Source organism: Homo sapiens, chromosome 3, assembly GCF_000001405.40.
Source record: "Homo sapiens chromosome 3, GRCh38.p14 Primary Assembly".
In the NCBI taxonomy this organism is placed as follows: Eukaryota; Metazoa; Chordata; class Mammalia; order Primates; family Hominidae; genus Homo; species Homo sapiens.
In genome coordinates this window covers 121,512,586-121,528,640 of record NC_000003.12, presented here as the reverse complement: position 1 = coordinate 121,528,640, position 16,055 = coordinate 121,512,586, and the positions used below count along the sequence as shown (strand labels likewise).

At 40.8% G+C, this 16,055-nt stretch overlaps 1 protein-coding gene across 1 annotated transcript in view; it reads left to right on the top strand.

Annotated features, from left to right (window-relative positions):
- POLQ (DNA polymerase theta) overlaps positions 1 to 16,055 on the top strand; it is a 114,558-nt gene that overhangs the window by 17,348 nt on the left and 81,155 nt on the right. The window contains exons 8-9 of the mRNA NM_199420.4: positions 6,492 to 6,638; positions 8,558 to 8,770. Of these exons, the coding sequence (NP_955452.3) occupies positions 6,492 to 6,638; positions 8,558 to 8,770 (360 nt within the window). The remainder of the gene's footprint in view (positions 1 to 6,491; positions 6,639 to 8,557; positions 8,771 to 16,055) is intronic.

The following is a 16,055-nucleotide window of genomic DNA, read 5'->3' as shown; positions in this document are numbered from 1 at the left end:
CCAGGCGTGGTGGCTCATGCCTGTAATCCCAGCACTTTGGGAGGCTGAGGAGGGTGGATCACCTGAGGTCAGGAGTTCGAGACCAGCCTGGCTAACATAGTGAAACCCCGTTTGTACTAAATACAAAAAATTAGCTGGGTGTGGTGGTGCACGCCTGTAATCCCAGCTACTCGGGAGGCTGAGGTGGGAGAATCACTTGAACCCGGGAGGCAGAGGTTGCAGTGAGCTGAGATCATGCCATTGCACTCCAGCTTGGGCAACAAGAGCGAAACTCCATCTCAAAAAAAAAAAAAAAATTAAAATTTCCAGCCCAGCCAACATAGTGAAACCCCATCTCTCCTAAATACAAAAATTAGCTGGATGTGATGTCGGGTACCTGTAATCCTACCTACATGGGAGGATAAGGCAGGAGAATCACTTGAACCTGGGAGGTGGAGGCTGCAGTGAGCCGAGATCACGCCACTTTACTCTAACCTAGGTGACAGAGTGAGACCCTCTCTCGAATAAATAAATAAATATTTATCAAAACTTAGGCACACAGACACAGACCATACATAGCCCCATTCACAGAAGAAAAATGTAAACAAATGTAAAGAGGCAGTGTTAAATCATAACTGCATAAAATTAACTGGTATATACTGTACTACTACTGTAATAATTTTATAGCCACCTCCTGCTGCTGTTGCAGTAAGCTCACGTGTTGTAAGTATGCACTTAAAATATGACGCTTATCACCTTCATATGAGCAGTTTGTGTCTCATAAATTTCATATTGCAGTAAAAAGTAATTTATCATGTTTCTTATGTACTTTTCATCATATTTAGTGCAGTACTGTAAACCTTGAATAATACCATGGGACCAATTTGAGGTGCCACTAGTGATGCTGGAAGTGTTCCGAAGAAGCAGAGAAAAGTAGTGGCATTCTAAGAAAAAATTGAATTGCTTGCTATGTACCATAAGTTGAGGTCTGCAGCTGCATTTACTATTTTAAGATAAATGCATCGAGCTTAAGTACTACTGTAAAAAAAGAAGGAAATTTGTGAAGCTATTGCTGCAGCTTTGCACATTTTATGAAATACTTCTTCATCTGATTTTGAAAATGCAGTTTTATGTGGCTGCAGGATCACTATATGAAAGGCATACCTGCTGGGTGAGGTGGCTTATGTCAATAATTCCAGCACTTTGGAAGGCCAAGGCAGGAGGATCACTTGTGTCCAGGAGTTCGAGACCAGCATAGGCAACATAGTGAGACCTTATCTCTACAAAAGTTAAAAAATTAGGCCGGGCATGGTGGTTCACACCTGTAATCCCAGCACTTTGGGAGGATGAGGTGGGCGGATCACCTGAGGTCAGGAGTTTGAGACCAGCCTGGACAACATGGTGAAACCCTGTCTCTACTAAAAAATATAAAAATTAGCCAGGCGTGGTGGGGCATACCTGTAGTCCCAGCCACTTGGGAGGCTGAGGCAGGAGAATTGCTTGAACCTGGGAGGCAGAGGTTGCAGTGAGCCGAGATCGTGCCACCGCACTCCACCCTGGGCGATGGAGCGAGACTCCATCTCAAAAAAAAATATCCAGGTGTGGTGATGTGTGCCTATAGTTCCAGCTACTTGGGAGGCTGAGGTGGGAGGATCGTTTGAGCCTGGGAGGTAAAGGGTGCAGTCAGCCATGATCGTGCCACTGTGCTCAGCTCAGTCTGGGTGGCAGAGTGAGATCCTGTCGCCACAGATGCACGTGCGTGCGCGCGCGCACACACACACACACATACAGAGACACACACGCACACACACAGAAGAAATACATACCTATAGACTCTACTACGATTTGAGAAAAAATGAAGTCCATATGGCAACTTAAAGCAAAAGGATCTAAAGCTGGAGAATTTAATGCCAGCAAAAGATGGTTGGATAATTTTAGAAAGAGGTTTATATGTGGATTTTTTTCAATACATAATATATTGGAAAATTTTTTGGTGATTTGTATGAATTTGAAAAAATGTCAAGATAACAGGAGATGCAAGACCAAGAGGCTGCAGATGAGTTCCAAGATACCATTAAGAAAATTATTGAGGAGAAAGGATATCTGCCTGAACAGATTTTTAATGCAGATGAAAGTGCCCTATTCTGAGAAAAAAAAATTGCCACAAAGAACCCATTTATTAGTAAGAAAGAGAAGAAAGCACCAGGATTTAAGGCAGGAAGGGATAGGCTAACTCTTGTTTTGTGCAAATGCAGTTGGGTTTATGATCAGGACTACTCATGTCTATAAAACAGCTAATACTCAAGCCTTAGAGGGAATAGATAAACACTGGTTGCCAGTCTTTTGGTTGTACAAGAAGGACTGGAGAGTGAGAACCCCTTCTCTGGATTCGTTTCATCGATGCTTTGTTTCTGAAGTCAGGAAATACATTGCCAGTAAGGGACTGCCTTTTAACTTTCTTTTGATACTGAACAATGCCTTGGGCCATCCAGAACCCCTTGAGTTCAACACTTAAGGCATCAAAGTGATCTACTTACCCCCAAACACAGCATCTCTAATTTGGTCTGTAGATCAAGGGGTCATGAGGATGTTTAAAGCTCATTACGCACTGTACTCTATGGAAAGGACTGTCAACATTATGGAAGAGAACCCCGATAGAACCTTGTGAAAGTCTTGAACGAAAATCATGAAAAAGATTGTGAAAATGGCAAAAAAAGGTGGAGGTATGAACGAAATCATGAAAAAGATTGTGAAAATGGCAAAAAAAAGGTGGAGGTAAAGGGTTTCAAGATATGAATCTTGGAGAAATTCAAGAGCTAGTAGACACCACACCAGAGGAATTAACAGAAGATGACTTGAAGGAAATGAGTGCTTCCAAACAAGTGCCAGATGATGAGTAAGAAGACACAGAAGAAGCAGTACCATAAAACAAGTTGACATTAGACAATTTGGCAGGATTCTAATTATTCAAGACTGCTTCTGACTTTTTTTATGGCACGGACCCTTCTATGATATCGGCACTGAAACGACAGCAAATGGCGAAAGGATTGGTACCGTATATAAACATTTTTAGAGAATGAAAAAGCAAAAACAGGCAGAAATTATAATGTATTTGCGTAAAGTTACACCAAGCGTGCCTGCCTCTACTGCCACCACTTCTGCCTCTGCCACCCCTGAGACAGCAAGATGAACCCCTTCTGTTTCTCCTTCATCAGCCTACTCAAGGTAAAGATGATGAAGATGGAGACTTTTATGATGATCTACTTCCAGTTAATGAATAGTAAATGTATTTTCTCTTTTTTGTTTTCTTTTTTTTTTTTTGAGACGGAGTCTCCGTCTTTTGCCCAGGCTGGAGTGTAGTGGCGCTATCTTGGCCCACTGCAAGCTCCGCCTCCCAGGTTCACGCCATTCTCCTGCCTCAGCCTCCCGAGTAGCTGGGACTACAGGTGCCCACCACCACGCCCAGCTAATTTTTTGTATTTTTAGTAGAGACGGGGTTTCACCGTGTTAGCCAGGATGGTCTCGATCTCCTAACCTCGTGATCCACTCGCCTTGGACTCCCAAAGTGCTGGGATTACAGTTGTGAGACACCACCTATTAGTAGTTAACTTTTGGGGAAGTCAAGTTGTGTGCGGATTTTTGACTGGGGGTTTCTGTGTTTCTAACTCCTGTGTTGTTTGACAGTCAACTCTGTGTGTGTGTGTGTGTGTGTGTGTGTGTGTGTATTTATACACAAATATACACGCACATGCATGTATATACAAATGTATTTTAAAATAAGCTCTGAGGTATTATTTATAAGAAAATGTACCCATTTTGTATGTATATGATAAATTTTAACAGATGCATACATCTGTTTAACCATAATATAATCAACACCTAGAACATTTTCATTACCCTAAAATATTCTCTTTTCTTTTGCTGTCTCTTCCCTCTATTCCAGACTTAGGCAACTGTTGATCTCTGCTTGCTGTCACTTTAGATTACTTGTGCTTTTCTAAAAATTCCACGTAAATAAAGTCATACAGTATGTATGTGTCTTTTGTATCTAGCTTGCTTTCACTCAGCCTGGTGTGATTGATGTTCACCCAGGTTGTTAATTTATCAGTTTGTTCCTTTTTTGTTGCCAGATGGTGATCTAGTATATACTAATGGCTATAATCATAGTATATATTTTTACTGATTCTAGAGTGAACACTGTTGCCTCACTATTTTTACTAGTCTGTGGTGCTCAAGATAAATACAAGGAAGACAGGGACCAGTTCTAGTCACAGAATATTAGGATATTTTATTAATTAATTATACCAGTCACATCATGAGGATAAGTGATGGAAATCTCAAGCCTAGCTCTAACAAGTAAACTTTGCCTGAAGTTTATATTGGCTAGGCTGTTGTCTAACAGTGTATCATCTCTTCCAGTTTCCCCTTAACTGGTACCTTCTACACCGGGTTAGCTTATTTCCTTACATTTTACCATGGCCATTTATAATCCTTAATAACCAGAATCATCATCATTTTCTTTTCTTGAGATTTTGTTATCTTGGTTTGTAGCAGTGGTTCCCAAATGCTCCTGCTTGGACTGGAGCCTGGTCTATGATGAGATTTTTATCAGAAAAGTAAAGACAAGGCAGCACATTATTTATAAAGCTGCAGTTTACATTCTGAAATTATTCCTACTCATTTTTTAATCTTAAATGTCTTTTTTTGAAGTAAAAATATTGATAGGTAAGGTTTTAAAAAATTAATTGCCCTCAGCAAAATAAAACATTGGCAACTCTCTGTGATTCCTTAAAATTTTTTAAAAAGTTTACCTAAAAATTTAAAAATGTATGAAATATAAGGTACATATTTAAATATACATATTTTTATTTTCAACTGACATATAATAATTCTAGAACATACATTTATTTATTTTCCTTTTTGTTTTTTTGTTTTTATTTTTGTTTTGAGACAGGGTCTTGCTCTGTTGTCCAGGATGGAATGCAGTGGCATGATCTCAGCTCACTGTAATCTCTACCTCATGGGCTCAAGTGATCCTCCCACTTCAGCCTCCCGAGTAGCTGGGTCTATAGGTGCATGCCACCATGCCTGGCTAATTTTTTTGTATTTTTTTTTAGAGATGGGATTTTGCCACATTTCCCAGGCTGGTCTCAAACTCCTGGATTCAACTGATCTGCCCACTTTGGCCTCCCAAAGTTCTGGGATTACGGGTGTCAGCCACCGTGCCCAGCCATATATTTACTGTTTATGAAAAGTTTTACAAGTTCAAAAATCCAAAAGTCTGGAAAATTTTTAAAGACAACATATAAGTATGTAAAGCTTTTACTGCATATAAGAAAGTTAAGGCTGGGTGGTGGCTCATGCCTGTAATCTCAGCACTTTGGGAGGCCAAGGTGGGAGGATTGCTTAAGCCCAGGAATTTGAAACCAGCCTGGGCAACCTAGGGAGACCCTATCTCTACAAGTGAAAAAAAAAAATGCTAGCTGGGCATAGTGGCTCGTGTGTCTGGTCCTAACTAACCAGGAGACTGAGGTAGGAGGATTGCTTGAGCCCAGGAGGTCAAGGCTGCCATGAGCAGGGATTGTGCCACTGTACTCCAGCCTGGGTGACAGAGTGAGACCCTGTCTCAAAAAAACGTTAAGCTCTTACTGGGGGAGAAGACAAAAAACAGAGGGTACTATTTAATTAGCTACCAGATTAATGCCAAAGAGGCAAGAATAATTTCACAGAGGAGTAGGCTTTTTCGTGACGGGATTGGTGAAACCCTCTGATACTGCTACTGCTGGTTGGTGGTACACACCTTGAGCAAGGGTTTTGATTTTGGGGCTTTGAGTGGTAATCAGTATCCGTAATACTCTGCTTCCTCAGCAGGTTCCTTTGATCCCCTCCTGTGGGCTTCGTCTTACCCTTACACAGTTTCCTAAACTTTGGCGCACATTGGAATTGCCTGGGGAGATTTAAAAATTCTTCATGTCCAGGTCACATCCCACACCAATTATATAACAATGTCCAGGATTAAGAACCAGGCATCAGTATTCTTAAAAGATCTCCAGCCGGGCGCGGTGGCTCACGCCTGTAATCCCAGCACTTTGGGAGGCCGAGGCGGGTGGATCATGAGGTCAGGAGATCGAGACCATCCTGGCTAACAAGGTGAAACCCCGTCTCTACTAAAAATACAAAAAATTAGCCGGGCGCGGTGGCAGGCGCCTGTAGTCCCAGCTACTCGGGAGGCTGAGGCAGGAGAATGGCGTGAACCCGGGAAGCGGAGCTTGCAGTGAGCCGAGATTGCGCCACTGCAGTCCGCAGTCCGGCCTGGGCGACAGAGCGAGACTCCGTCTCAAAAAAAAAAAAAAAAAAAAAAAAAAAAAAAAAAAAAAGATCTCCAGGGGATTATATAGTATGCAGCAGTTTCAGAACCATTCCCCTGCTATTTAGCTCTATTATGATTTAGACAGATACACTTAAAGAAGCTGAGTTAGAAGCAAATGGTGTTGATAATTTTTTTGTGACAGGATTGGTGAAACCCTCTGAATGCCCACCAGTAATTCTGGAACAAAAAGAACTCCTGGAAGTGATGGATCAGTTAAGACGTTTGCCTTCAGGACTGGACTCTGTATTACAGAAAACTGTACCATGGGGAGTAGCATTTCATCATGCAGGTATTTCATATTTATAATGTTATTAAGAAACCTCCAAAATTCCTCATACTGTCTTAACTTTTATATTTGTGTACATTTATTTCTTGTTAAACACACTTAATGTCCTTAGATTTCTTTTTAAGAAATTGTGTGGGCTGGGCGTGGTGGCTCACTCCTGTAATCCCAGCACTTTGGGAGGCCGAAGCAAGTGGATCACCTGAGATCAGGAGTTTAAGACCAGCCTGGCCAACATGGTGAAACCCCATCTCTACTAAAAATACAAAAATCAGCTGGGCGTTGTGGCACGCACCTGTAATTCCAGCTTCTCAGGAGGCTGAGGCAGGGAGAATTGCTTGAACCCAGGAGGCGGAGGTTACAGTGAGCCGAGATCGTGCCACTGTACTCCAACCTGGGTGACAGAGCGAAATTGTGTGATAGATTAAAGAAGAGTAAAACGAACCTGTTTCAGTTTACTTATTTCTATATAGTAGTCTCCCCTTGTTCACTGAAGCTATGTTCCAAGACCCCCAGTGGATATCTGAAACCATAGATAGTACCAGCCCCACATATATGATGTTTTTTCATAGCATGTTAAAACTTTTAAATGCATTAGAAATGTGTGTGTGTGAGGGGGTATATATATGGTATATAGTAGTCCTTTGTGAGGAATATGTTCCAAGATCCTCAGTGGATGCCTGAAACCACAGATAGTACCAAACCCTCTATATACTATGTTCTTTCCTATATAGTCACATTATATAGTGCCGGTAGTGTATACAGCATGGATACACTGAATAAAGGGATAATTCATGTCCTGGGTGGTAGGACATGCAATTTAAAACTTATGAGTTGCTTATTTCTGGAATTTTCCTCTTTATATTTTTGACTTTGGGTAACTAAAACTATAGAAAGCAAAACCACAGATGGGGGAAAACTACTATATACACACACACAGAATTTACATTGTATGTAATTTATGATGCATACTAAAAAAGTGAACACCTGTGTACCCATCACTTAATTTTAAAACTAGAACCCCAGCCCTTTAAATTTTTAAATAAAATTGAAAATGAGCCAGCTAAGTATATATTCTATACACTGTTTTTCATTTACTCATGTTTTTGTTCATCACGTATTTATGTCAGAGGTATATCTGACCAATGTGATGCATAGGCCCTGAAGATATCTTGATGAATAAGGCATATCACTACCCACAAGGAGTTCATTGTTTAGAACAGTGGTTAGCAAGTTACAGTCTGCTGGTCAAGTCTAGCCTACCATCTGTTTTTGTAAATAAAGTTTTATTGGAACACAGTCATGCCCATTTGTTCTGTTGCTGCTTTCATGTCACAGTGGCAGGGTGGGATAGTTGCAGCGGAGACCTGCTGTTTTCCACAGGAACAGGAAAAGTTTGTGGACCCCTGGTCTAGAAAATAAGGTAGAGGTATACTAGAGGCAGCAGATTCTACTCTTTTTTTGTTATTGTTGTTGTTGTTTTCTCGCTCTGTTGCCCAGGCTGGAGTGCAGTGATGTGATCTCAGCTCACTGCAAACTCTGCCTCCCAGGTTCAAGTGATTCTCCTGCCTCAGCCTCCTGATTAGCTGGGATTACAGGCACCCACCACCATGCACAGCTAATTTTTATATTTTTAGTAGAGGCAGGGTTTCACCATGTTGGCCAGGCTGGTCTCGAACTCCTGACCTCAAGCGATCCACCTGCCTCAGCCTCCCACACTGCTGGGATTACAGACATGAGCCACCGCGCCCGGCCAGATTATGCTGTTAAAGAGATAGACTGTGATGACTCCTTTGTCAACAGTCATAACAATAGTTTCAAAAATCTTCAGAGGCTTGAAGCAGACTCTCAAATCCATTTGTAAGTGAACACGTATAATATTTTCGTTATATATCAATAAATATATAAAAACCTCCTTTTTTTAGGTCTTACTTTTGAGGAGAGGGATATCATTGAAGGAGCCTTTCGTCAAGGTCTCATTCGGGTCTTGGCGGCAACTTCTACTCTTTCTTCTGGGGTGAATTTACCTGCACGTCGTGTGATTATTCGAACCCCTATTTTTGGTGGTCGACCTCTAGATATTCTTACTTATAAGCAGATGGTTGGCCGTGCTGGCAGGAAAGGAGTGGACACAGTAGGTAAGTGAGTTTGAATTTAATTGTAGCAGCATTGCTGAAGGACAGTGTCTACTTGAAATTTGACTAGTGTCTGGCAACCTGTTTCTCATCATGCTGTATTTCTTTATTATCCAATGCACTAGTGTCATCATTTTGGATTCACTTAATATTTATAGTGAGTATGAGTTATAATTTTCTTTTTTTTTTTTTTTTTTTGAGACGGAGTCTCGCTCTGTCGCCCAGGCTGCAGTGCAGTGGCGCGATCTTGGCCCACTGCAAGCTCTGCCTTCCGGGTTCATGCCATTCTCCTGCCTCAGCCTCCCAAGTAGCTGGGACTACAGGCGCCTGCCACCATGCCCGGCTAATTTTTTTGTATTTTTAGTAGAGACGGGGTCTCACCATGTTAGCCAGGATGGTCTCGATCTCCTGGCCTCGTGATCCGCCTGCCTCGGCCTCCCAAAGTGCTGGGATTACAGGCTTGAGCCACCGCGCCTGGCATAATTTTCATATATATATATATATATATATATATCATCAACTGTTGATTTTCTACAAATGTTGAATTAAGTTTTTCTTTCGTATTGTATACAATAAAATGATTTAGTATTATGTAAATCAAGATGACTTCTTATTACTTAGCTGGAAGATGATTTTTAATTTCTAGGTGTAGTCTACTCTTTAGCACTAATTAATTTTCACAGATGTTAATTCAACTTAGGTGACTGGTCTCAGAAATCAGACAAGGATGCTGGGATGCACCCTCACACTTTGGGAATAGGAACTTGACATCCCATCTTTTTTCTCGAAATTGGTGCTGGCTCTGAAAAAACACCTTTTCATTTTTTTTTACCTTGTATCAGCAAGTTATGATTGTTTTTACCAGCAATCCAAACAAAAGTTTTGTCTTAAGCAGTAAGGAAGAGGTTTGTTTGAATTAAATGTCAAAACGGCAGCAAATTTTATTTCTAACGTGCTGTATCATTATATGTAACTAAATCATTATCAGCCATCTAACATTGAAGAACCTTGGGAGGAACATTCCCTGCCACTTTCTACTCTAGGACATAATTGTCATCTTTCTACTGTAGGACATAATTGACTCCAGTATTTTATTAGATATGTCAAAAAAAAACAAAACAGGCAAACAGTTCTGTGGCTACTGAAGAGAAATTAGGAAATCCAGGAGAATAAGGAAAGTGGATGGGAAATGGATATTCTGGGCAGAGGAAGCTGGGTAGTACACTGAGGAAGTAACTTTTAGAATAAACTGACTTGTCACATGAAGTCCCCAAATATGTCAGTTCTCATTATTCATGGATTCCATATTTGAATTTTCCACCTTAACAGAATTTATTCAGAATCCCGAAATAATACCTCTGGGGCTTTTGTGGACATATGCAGATCTGCGAAAAATTTGAATCTTTCCAAGCACACTTTCCCTGCTGTGGTTGAACAAGCCAAAGCTCTGCGTTCTTGTTTCAGCTCTTATACTGTGAACAAGCTTCTTTTTAATGGGCTAGTTAGTGCCATATTTTTCACATTTTTGTGCTTTTAGTTGGTGATTTTGCTGTTTAACATGACCCCCAAGCAAAGTACTGAAATGCTATCTAATGTTCCCTAGTGCCTTAAGGCTGTGATGTGCCTTATGGAGAAAATATGTGATAAGTTTTCTTTAGGCATGAATTATAATGCTGTTGGCTGGAGCTCAATGTAAACAACTATATACATTAAATAAGATGTCTTTAAACAGAAACATGCATAAAACAAGGTTTTGTATTGATGAAGTGATGAAAATGTTTTTACTAGAGGCTTGCAGGAACCTAATCATCTGTTTTCCTTGGCAGCAAGGGTTCAGTATTCTGTGTTCGTGGCAGCTTTATAGAACATGACTACCACAAATACCAAAAATTGACCGTAATTTATTGGTATCTGGATTAGTTAGAATATAAATTCACTGCTGTAACAAAAACCAATACAATAAGTGTTTAACAAGATAGATGTTAATTTCTTTCTCATATAACAGTAAAATTCTATTCTAGGCCTTATATGATGTAATTGTAATTTAGGCCTTATATGATGGCTGTAGTGTGTCGGGGACCTAGTCTTCTATTTTGTTTTAACATTTTCAGCAATGTAGTTTCTATCCTCGGTATATGATGGCCAGTCCAGTCTCTGTCATCACATCTGCATTTCAGCCATCAGGAAGGGAAGATGAGGAAGCAAAGAGCATGCCCTGCCCTTTAAGGCCGCTGCTCAGAAGTTGCACATAGTATTTCTCTTCACATACAATGGGCCAGAACTTTCACATGATTACATTCCCCAACTATAAGAGAGGCTGGGAAATATAATCTTTAGCTTGGGTGGCCACGTGCTCCACTAATACTTAAGAAGATGTGCATGGCTATTGGAACAGCTTTCAGTCTCAGCACCAGTAATAAATGACCCATTTACAATCCCTGAAGGGCATTGGTCAGCCTTTCTTTTAAGCCCTGAAAATTTTGATGATTTAAAAAAAAAAAACAAAACTTCCAATTTGTTGGATTTTTCCTACAGCTGACATCAGAGACGTTTATCCTGTTTCTCTCTTACTTTACCTACAGAATATGCAGATTGCATGTATATGCTTAAAAAGAGTTGAGGGAAGAGAGTGAGATTCTTCCTTCCCATTCCTATTTGCCTACCTCTGTCCATCCCCAATTTTCAGTGGACTCACACCTCTGGGGAATGGAGTATAAGTCCATTTTACATAGATAATTGTCTCTCGGGACAGAGGGTCTTTTAGTTAATGTAGAAGATAAGGAGAAATAAGACAAGAAATAAGCTGAGATCTTATTTGCCTTGTTATGTTCTTAGCTTATATTTATTATGGGAAAGAACAATTGGAAGGTTAGTGCCCTGGGCTAATTATCAAGCCTTAAATCAGACAACTCTCAAACAGAACTAAAATATACTGTAATAAGTTCATTTCTGAGGTCTTAAAGACTTCCAAGCTTTTGATCTTGCATATCATTGTATTTCAGGATGTCATATGACTTGCTCATAACTTCAAGCTAATGAAGAATGTAGGAATATAGTGGTTTATATTCACTATGGAGACTTAAATACTTGGTCATGCTTTTTGTATCGTGTAGCATCATTGGAAATTCTGTGCATTTTATATTCCTGGACAGCACATGGTGTTTTATTTAGATGACACTTCAGTCTTTCCATAGACTACTTAGAAGCTTCTAGTATAGGATGATGGTGCTTGGTGCCAAAATAGCGATTTGTAAGTTCAGCAGTCAGTAATAAATTATTTGATTCTAAATAATTTCAACTTCCCTCTTGTGATGTGGATGAGTCCTCCCTAGACAGGTGGTTGCAGGAACCTGTACATATATACTGATGTTCATTTGGACATTTTATAAACCTTGCCCATTCAGGAAAAGGGCAGTTCATTTTGTTGAAGAATCAAAGCCCCGAAAGACCTTTAAACAGCCCAAAGTGGCTTGTTTATCTTGCTGCTAATGCTAGTTGATTCATTTTCTAGGTAATTTATATGTGTGTGTTTTCTTTCTTAAGCTGGGCTGTTTTGTAGCCATTGCAAGAGTCAGGTGTTATATTCATGTGATTTTTAAAAATTGGATATTGACAAATTATAATTGTATATATTTTTGAGGCACAGAGTGATGCTATCTGTATACAATGCAAAATGATGGAATTAAGCCAGTTAACATATCACCCCCAAATACTTATCATTTATTCTTCCTGTCTAACTGAAACATTGTACTCTTTGACCATCTTCTCATCCCTCCAACTCCCTAATCTCTCTCTCTTCTGCTTGATTGAGCCTGCTGCTAAAGCTTTGATTGCATTTTTCAGTTCACTCATTGTACTCTTCATCTCTAAGATTTCTCTTTCTTTTTTATTGTTTCTATTTCTTTGTCAAACTTCTTGTTTTGTTTGTATATTGTTTTCCAAATTTTATTTAATTTTTTATCCATATATCCTTGTAGTTCATTGGACTTTTTTAGGATAATTATTCTGGATTCTTTCTCATTTCACAGATCTTCATTTCTTTAGGGTTCATTGTTGGAGCTTTGTTAGTTTCTTTTGAAGGTATCTTGGCTTCCTGGTTCTTTGTAATCTGTGTTCTTGTGTTGGTATCTGCACATTTGAGGAGACAGCTACCTCTTTGGCTTTTATAGGTGTTCTTTGGCAGGGATAGAACTTCACTTGTCTAGCCTTTGATTCTGAATAGGCCAACTGGCAGCAGCCCTGAGCAGGCAAAGCTTGCTTTGGATTCTGTAGATAGTTGGGCTGCTGCCTTTGCTCTGAGTTTGGGTGGGACTGCTGGCTGGGCTCTGCTATCAGGTGAACCCACAAGCTGAGCTCTGCAGTCAGGCAGAGTTGCTGGTTTGAAACTGCAATCGCCTCTTGGCTGGGCCCCAGAGTGTATTCCTTGGCCAGATGGTACCCCTATTTGAGATCTGTACTTGGACAGTGTTGCAGGCTGGGCCTCGAGGTTAGGTGGAGTTGCTATTCTGGACCAGTGGGCCAGCTGCTATGCTCAGTGGAAATGCATGATTGAGCATGGTGGCTCATGACTGTAATCCCAGTGACTTGGGAGGCTGAGATGGAAGGATCGCTTGAGCCCAGGAGTTTCAGGCTTCAGTGAGTTATGATCATGCCACTGCACTCCTATGTGAGTGACAGAGATCCCACCTCTAAAAATAAAATAAAAAAAATGCACATCTGAGGTTTGCCTCCCTGCCTAGGTGGGGACTTGGAGTGGGCTTTGAGACTGAACTGAGGGCTGTTTAAACTTCCACCCTTGGCAGAACTAGTCCCTGCACTTTGCAAAAATACAGTATGATAGGCATCTTCCACCTGGGGCAGGTCCTTGAGGCTGAGCTTGAGCACTGTTTAAAATCCCAGGTTTGGCAGAACTAGCCCCTGCTTCTTTCCAGAATGCACTGTGATGGTCATCTCCTTTCCTGGGCAGGGTCCTCATGAGCTTTGACGCTGGGCCTGGAGGCTGGCCATCTAAAGATTCAAGCCAGGTAGAATTTCCTACCACTTCTAGAAGTGATCAGTTTGGCTTTGTCCTGGGCTACACTGTTTAGCTGTTAGCTGGTACCTCTGATTGGGCACCACCACTGGCAGGTACACAGAGCTACCACCAAGATCTGCATGCTGGTTGCCGTGAGCTCTACCTCCTTGCTTTGTTTCTGCCTGACCCCAGGTGATCTAGCCATGCTGTTACCCAGCATGTTCTCTGTGAGGCGAGACTGGAGTTGGCTTCTTGGGAAGCCTCTTGGAATGCTAGGGAAGCTCTGTGTTCTCTGGTTTTCTTTTCCCACTGTAGAAGCCATGAGCCCTGGGGATTCCTTTCTGTGTGATACTGTGCTGACTTAGGGGAGTGGAAGGGGTGATGAGGTCAAAGTGAGATAGTTTATCTTACTATATCTTGCAATTTTTATGTAGTTTTGTGGTCTATGCATAAGTTTCAGACTTATTCCCAAGTTTTGGGTTTTTTTTTTTTTTTTTTGGTTATTGTTGTTGTTGTTGTTTTTTTTTTTAATACACGGAATTTTACTCTTGTTGCCCAGGCTGTAGTGCGATGGCGCAATCTTGGTTCACTGCAACCTCCACCTCCTGGGCTCAAGCGATTCTCTTGCCTCAGCCTCCCAAGTAGCTGGAATTATAGGAATGTGCCATCATGCCTGGCTAATTTTGTATTTTTAGTAGAGATGGGGTTTCACCATGTTGGTTAGGCTAGTCTTGAACTCCTGACCTCAGGTGATCCGTCCACCTTGGCCTCCCACAGTGCTGGAATTACAGGCATGAGCCACCATGCCTGGCCTCTTTTTTTTTTTTTTTTTTTTTTGAGATGGAGTTTCACTCTTGTTGCCCAGGCTGGAGTGCAGTGGCACAATCTCGGCTCACTGCAACCTCCACCTCCAGGGCTCAAGCGATTCTCCTGCCTCAGCCTCCCAAGTAGCTGAGATTACAGGAATGTGCCATCATGCCTGGCTAATTTTGTATTTCTAGTAGAGACGGGGTTTCACCATGTTGGTTAGGCTGGTCTCGAACTCCTGACCTAAGTGAGCCACACTCCTTGGCCTCCCAAAATGCTGGGATTACAGGCATAAGCCACTGGGCCTGGCAGTTTTGGGGTTTTCACAAAGGTGTTCTTGTCTGCAGATAGAAGCTAGTTGAAGCTTCTGGGGAGGGGGGTAGTAAAGCCTCCTAAACCACCATCTTGCTGACATCTTGTTTTCCTTTTTTTTTTTTTTTTTTTTTTTTTTTGAGATAGAGTCTCTCTCTGTTGCCAGGCTGGAGTGCAGTGGCGTGATCTCAGCTCACTGCAACCTCTGCCTCCTGGGTTCAAGTGATTCTCGTGCCTCAGCCTCCTGAGTAGCTGGGACTACAGGTGCGTGCCACCATGCCCAGCTAATTTTTGTATTTTTAGTAGAGGCGGGGTTTCACCATGTTGGCCAGGCTGGTCTCCATCTCTTGACCTCGTGATCTGCCCTCCTCGGCCTCCCAAAGTGCTGGGATTAAAGGTGTGAGCCACCGCGCCTGGCTGTTTTGCTTTTTTAATGGTGCCTATCTTTATAATCATTTCTGGGATAAACAGCCATTGATAATCAAGTTTATAATCCCTTCACTTTATCCTATCTTGATTCTCAGTTTGGCAATTGGGAAGGATAATCTGTACCTTCTCTTTGCCTCGGGTGGTAAGGATATTCCAGCACTGTGCCAGTTTTATTTAAAAAAAAAAGTATTCTTCATTTGTCTTTTTGAACCTCTTACCTGCTTTCTTTCCCACAGTATTGGATTCATTTTTGAAGAAAAATTATGATTCTCTCTAGTCATAATTGTTGCAATAATAGTTTGTATTTGTTCAAATTGTATAGTTGTATATGGCTTTAACATATAAGTGCTTTCATGTATTTTTGTTCATTTGGTTCTCACAATAAAGCATTTAGATTAGTAAATGTTGTAATATAAATTTTGGGTATCTACAAGTATTTTTGAATTTATTTTATCATATAACTGGTAACAATTTACATTTGCATTTTACTTTATAGGTTTGAAAGTACCTCTATTAATTACTTCATTATTCAATAATAATGGTTAATCCTGTAGGGGAAGAAAAAGACTTTTCCTCTACTTTCTTAGGTTCTGCAGTTGGGACCTGCTAATTAAATTGACAGATTAACAGGAGAAAAGGCATATAAACTTTATTTGATGCTAATATTTTAATTTTTATGTACATGGAAGCCTTTATAGAAAAGGATTGAAGACCTGAGAAACTGTT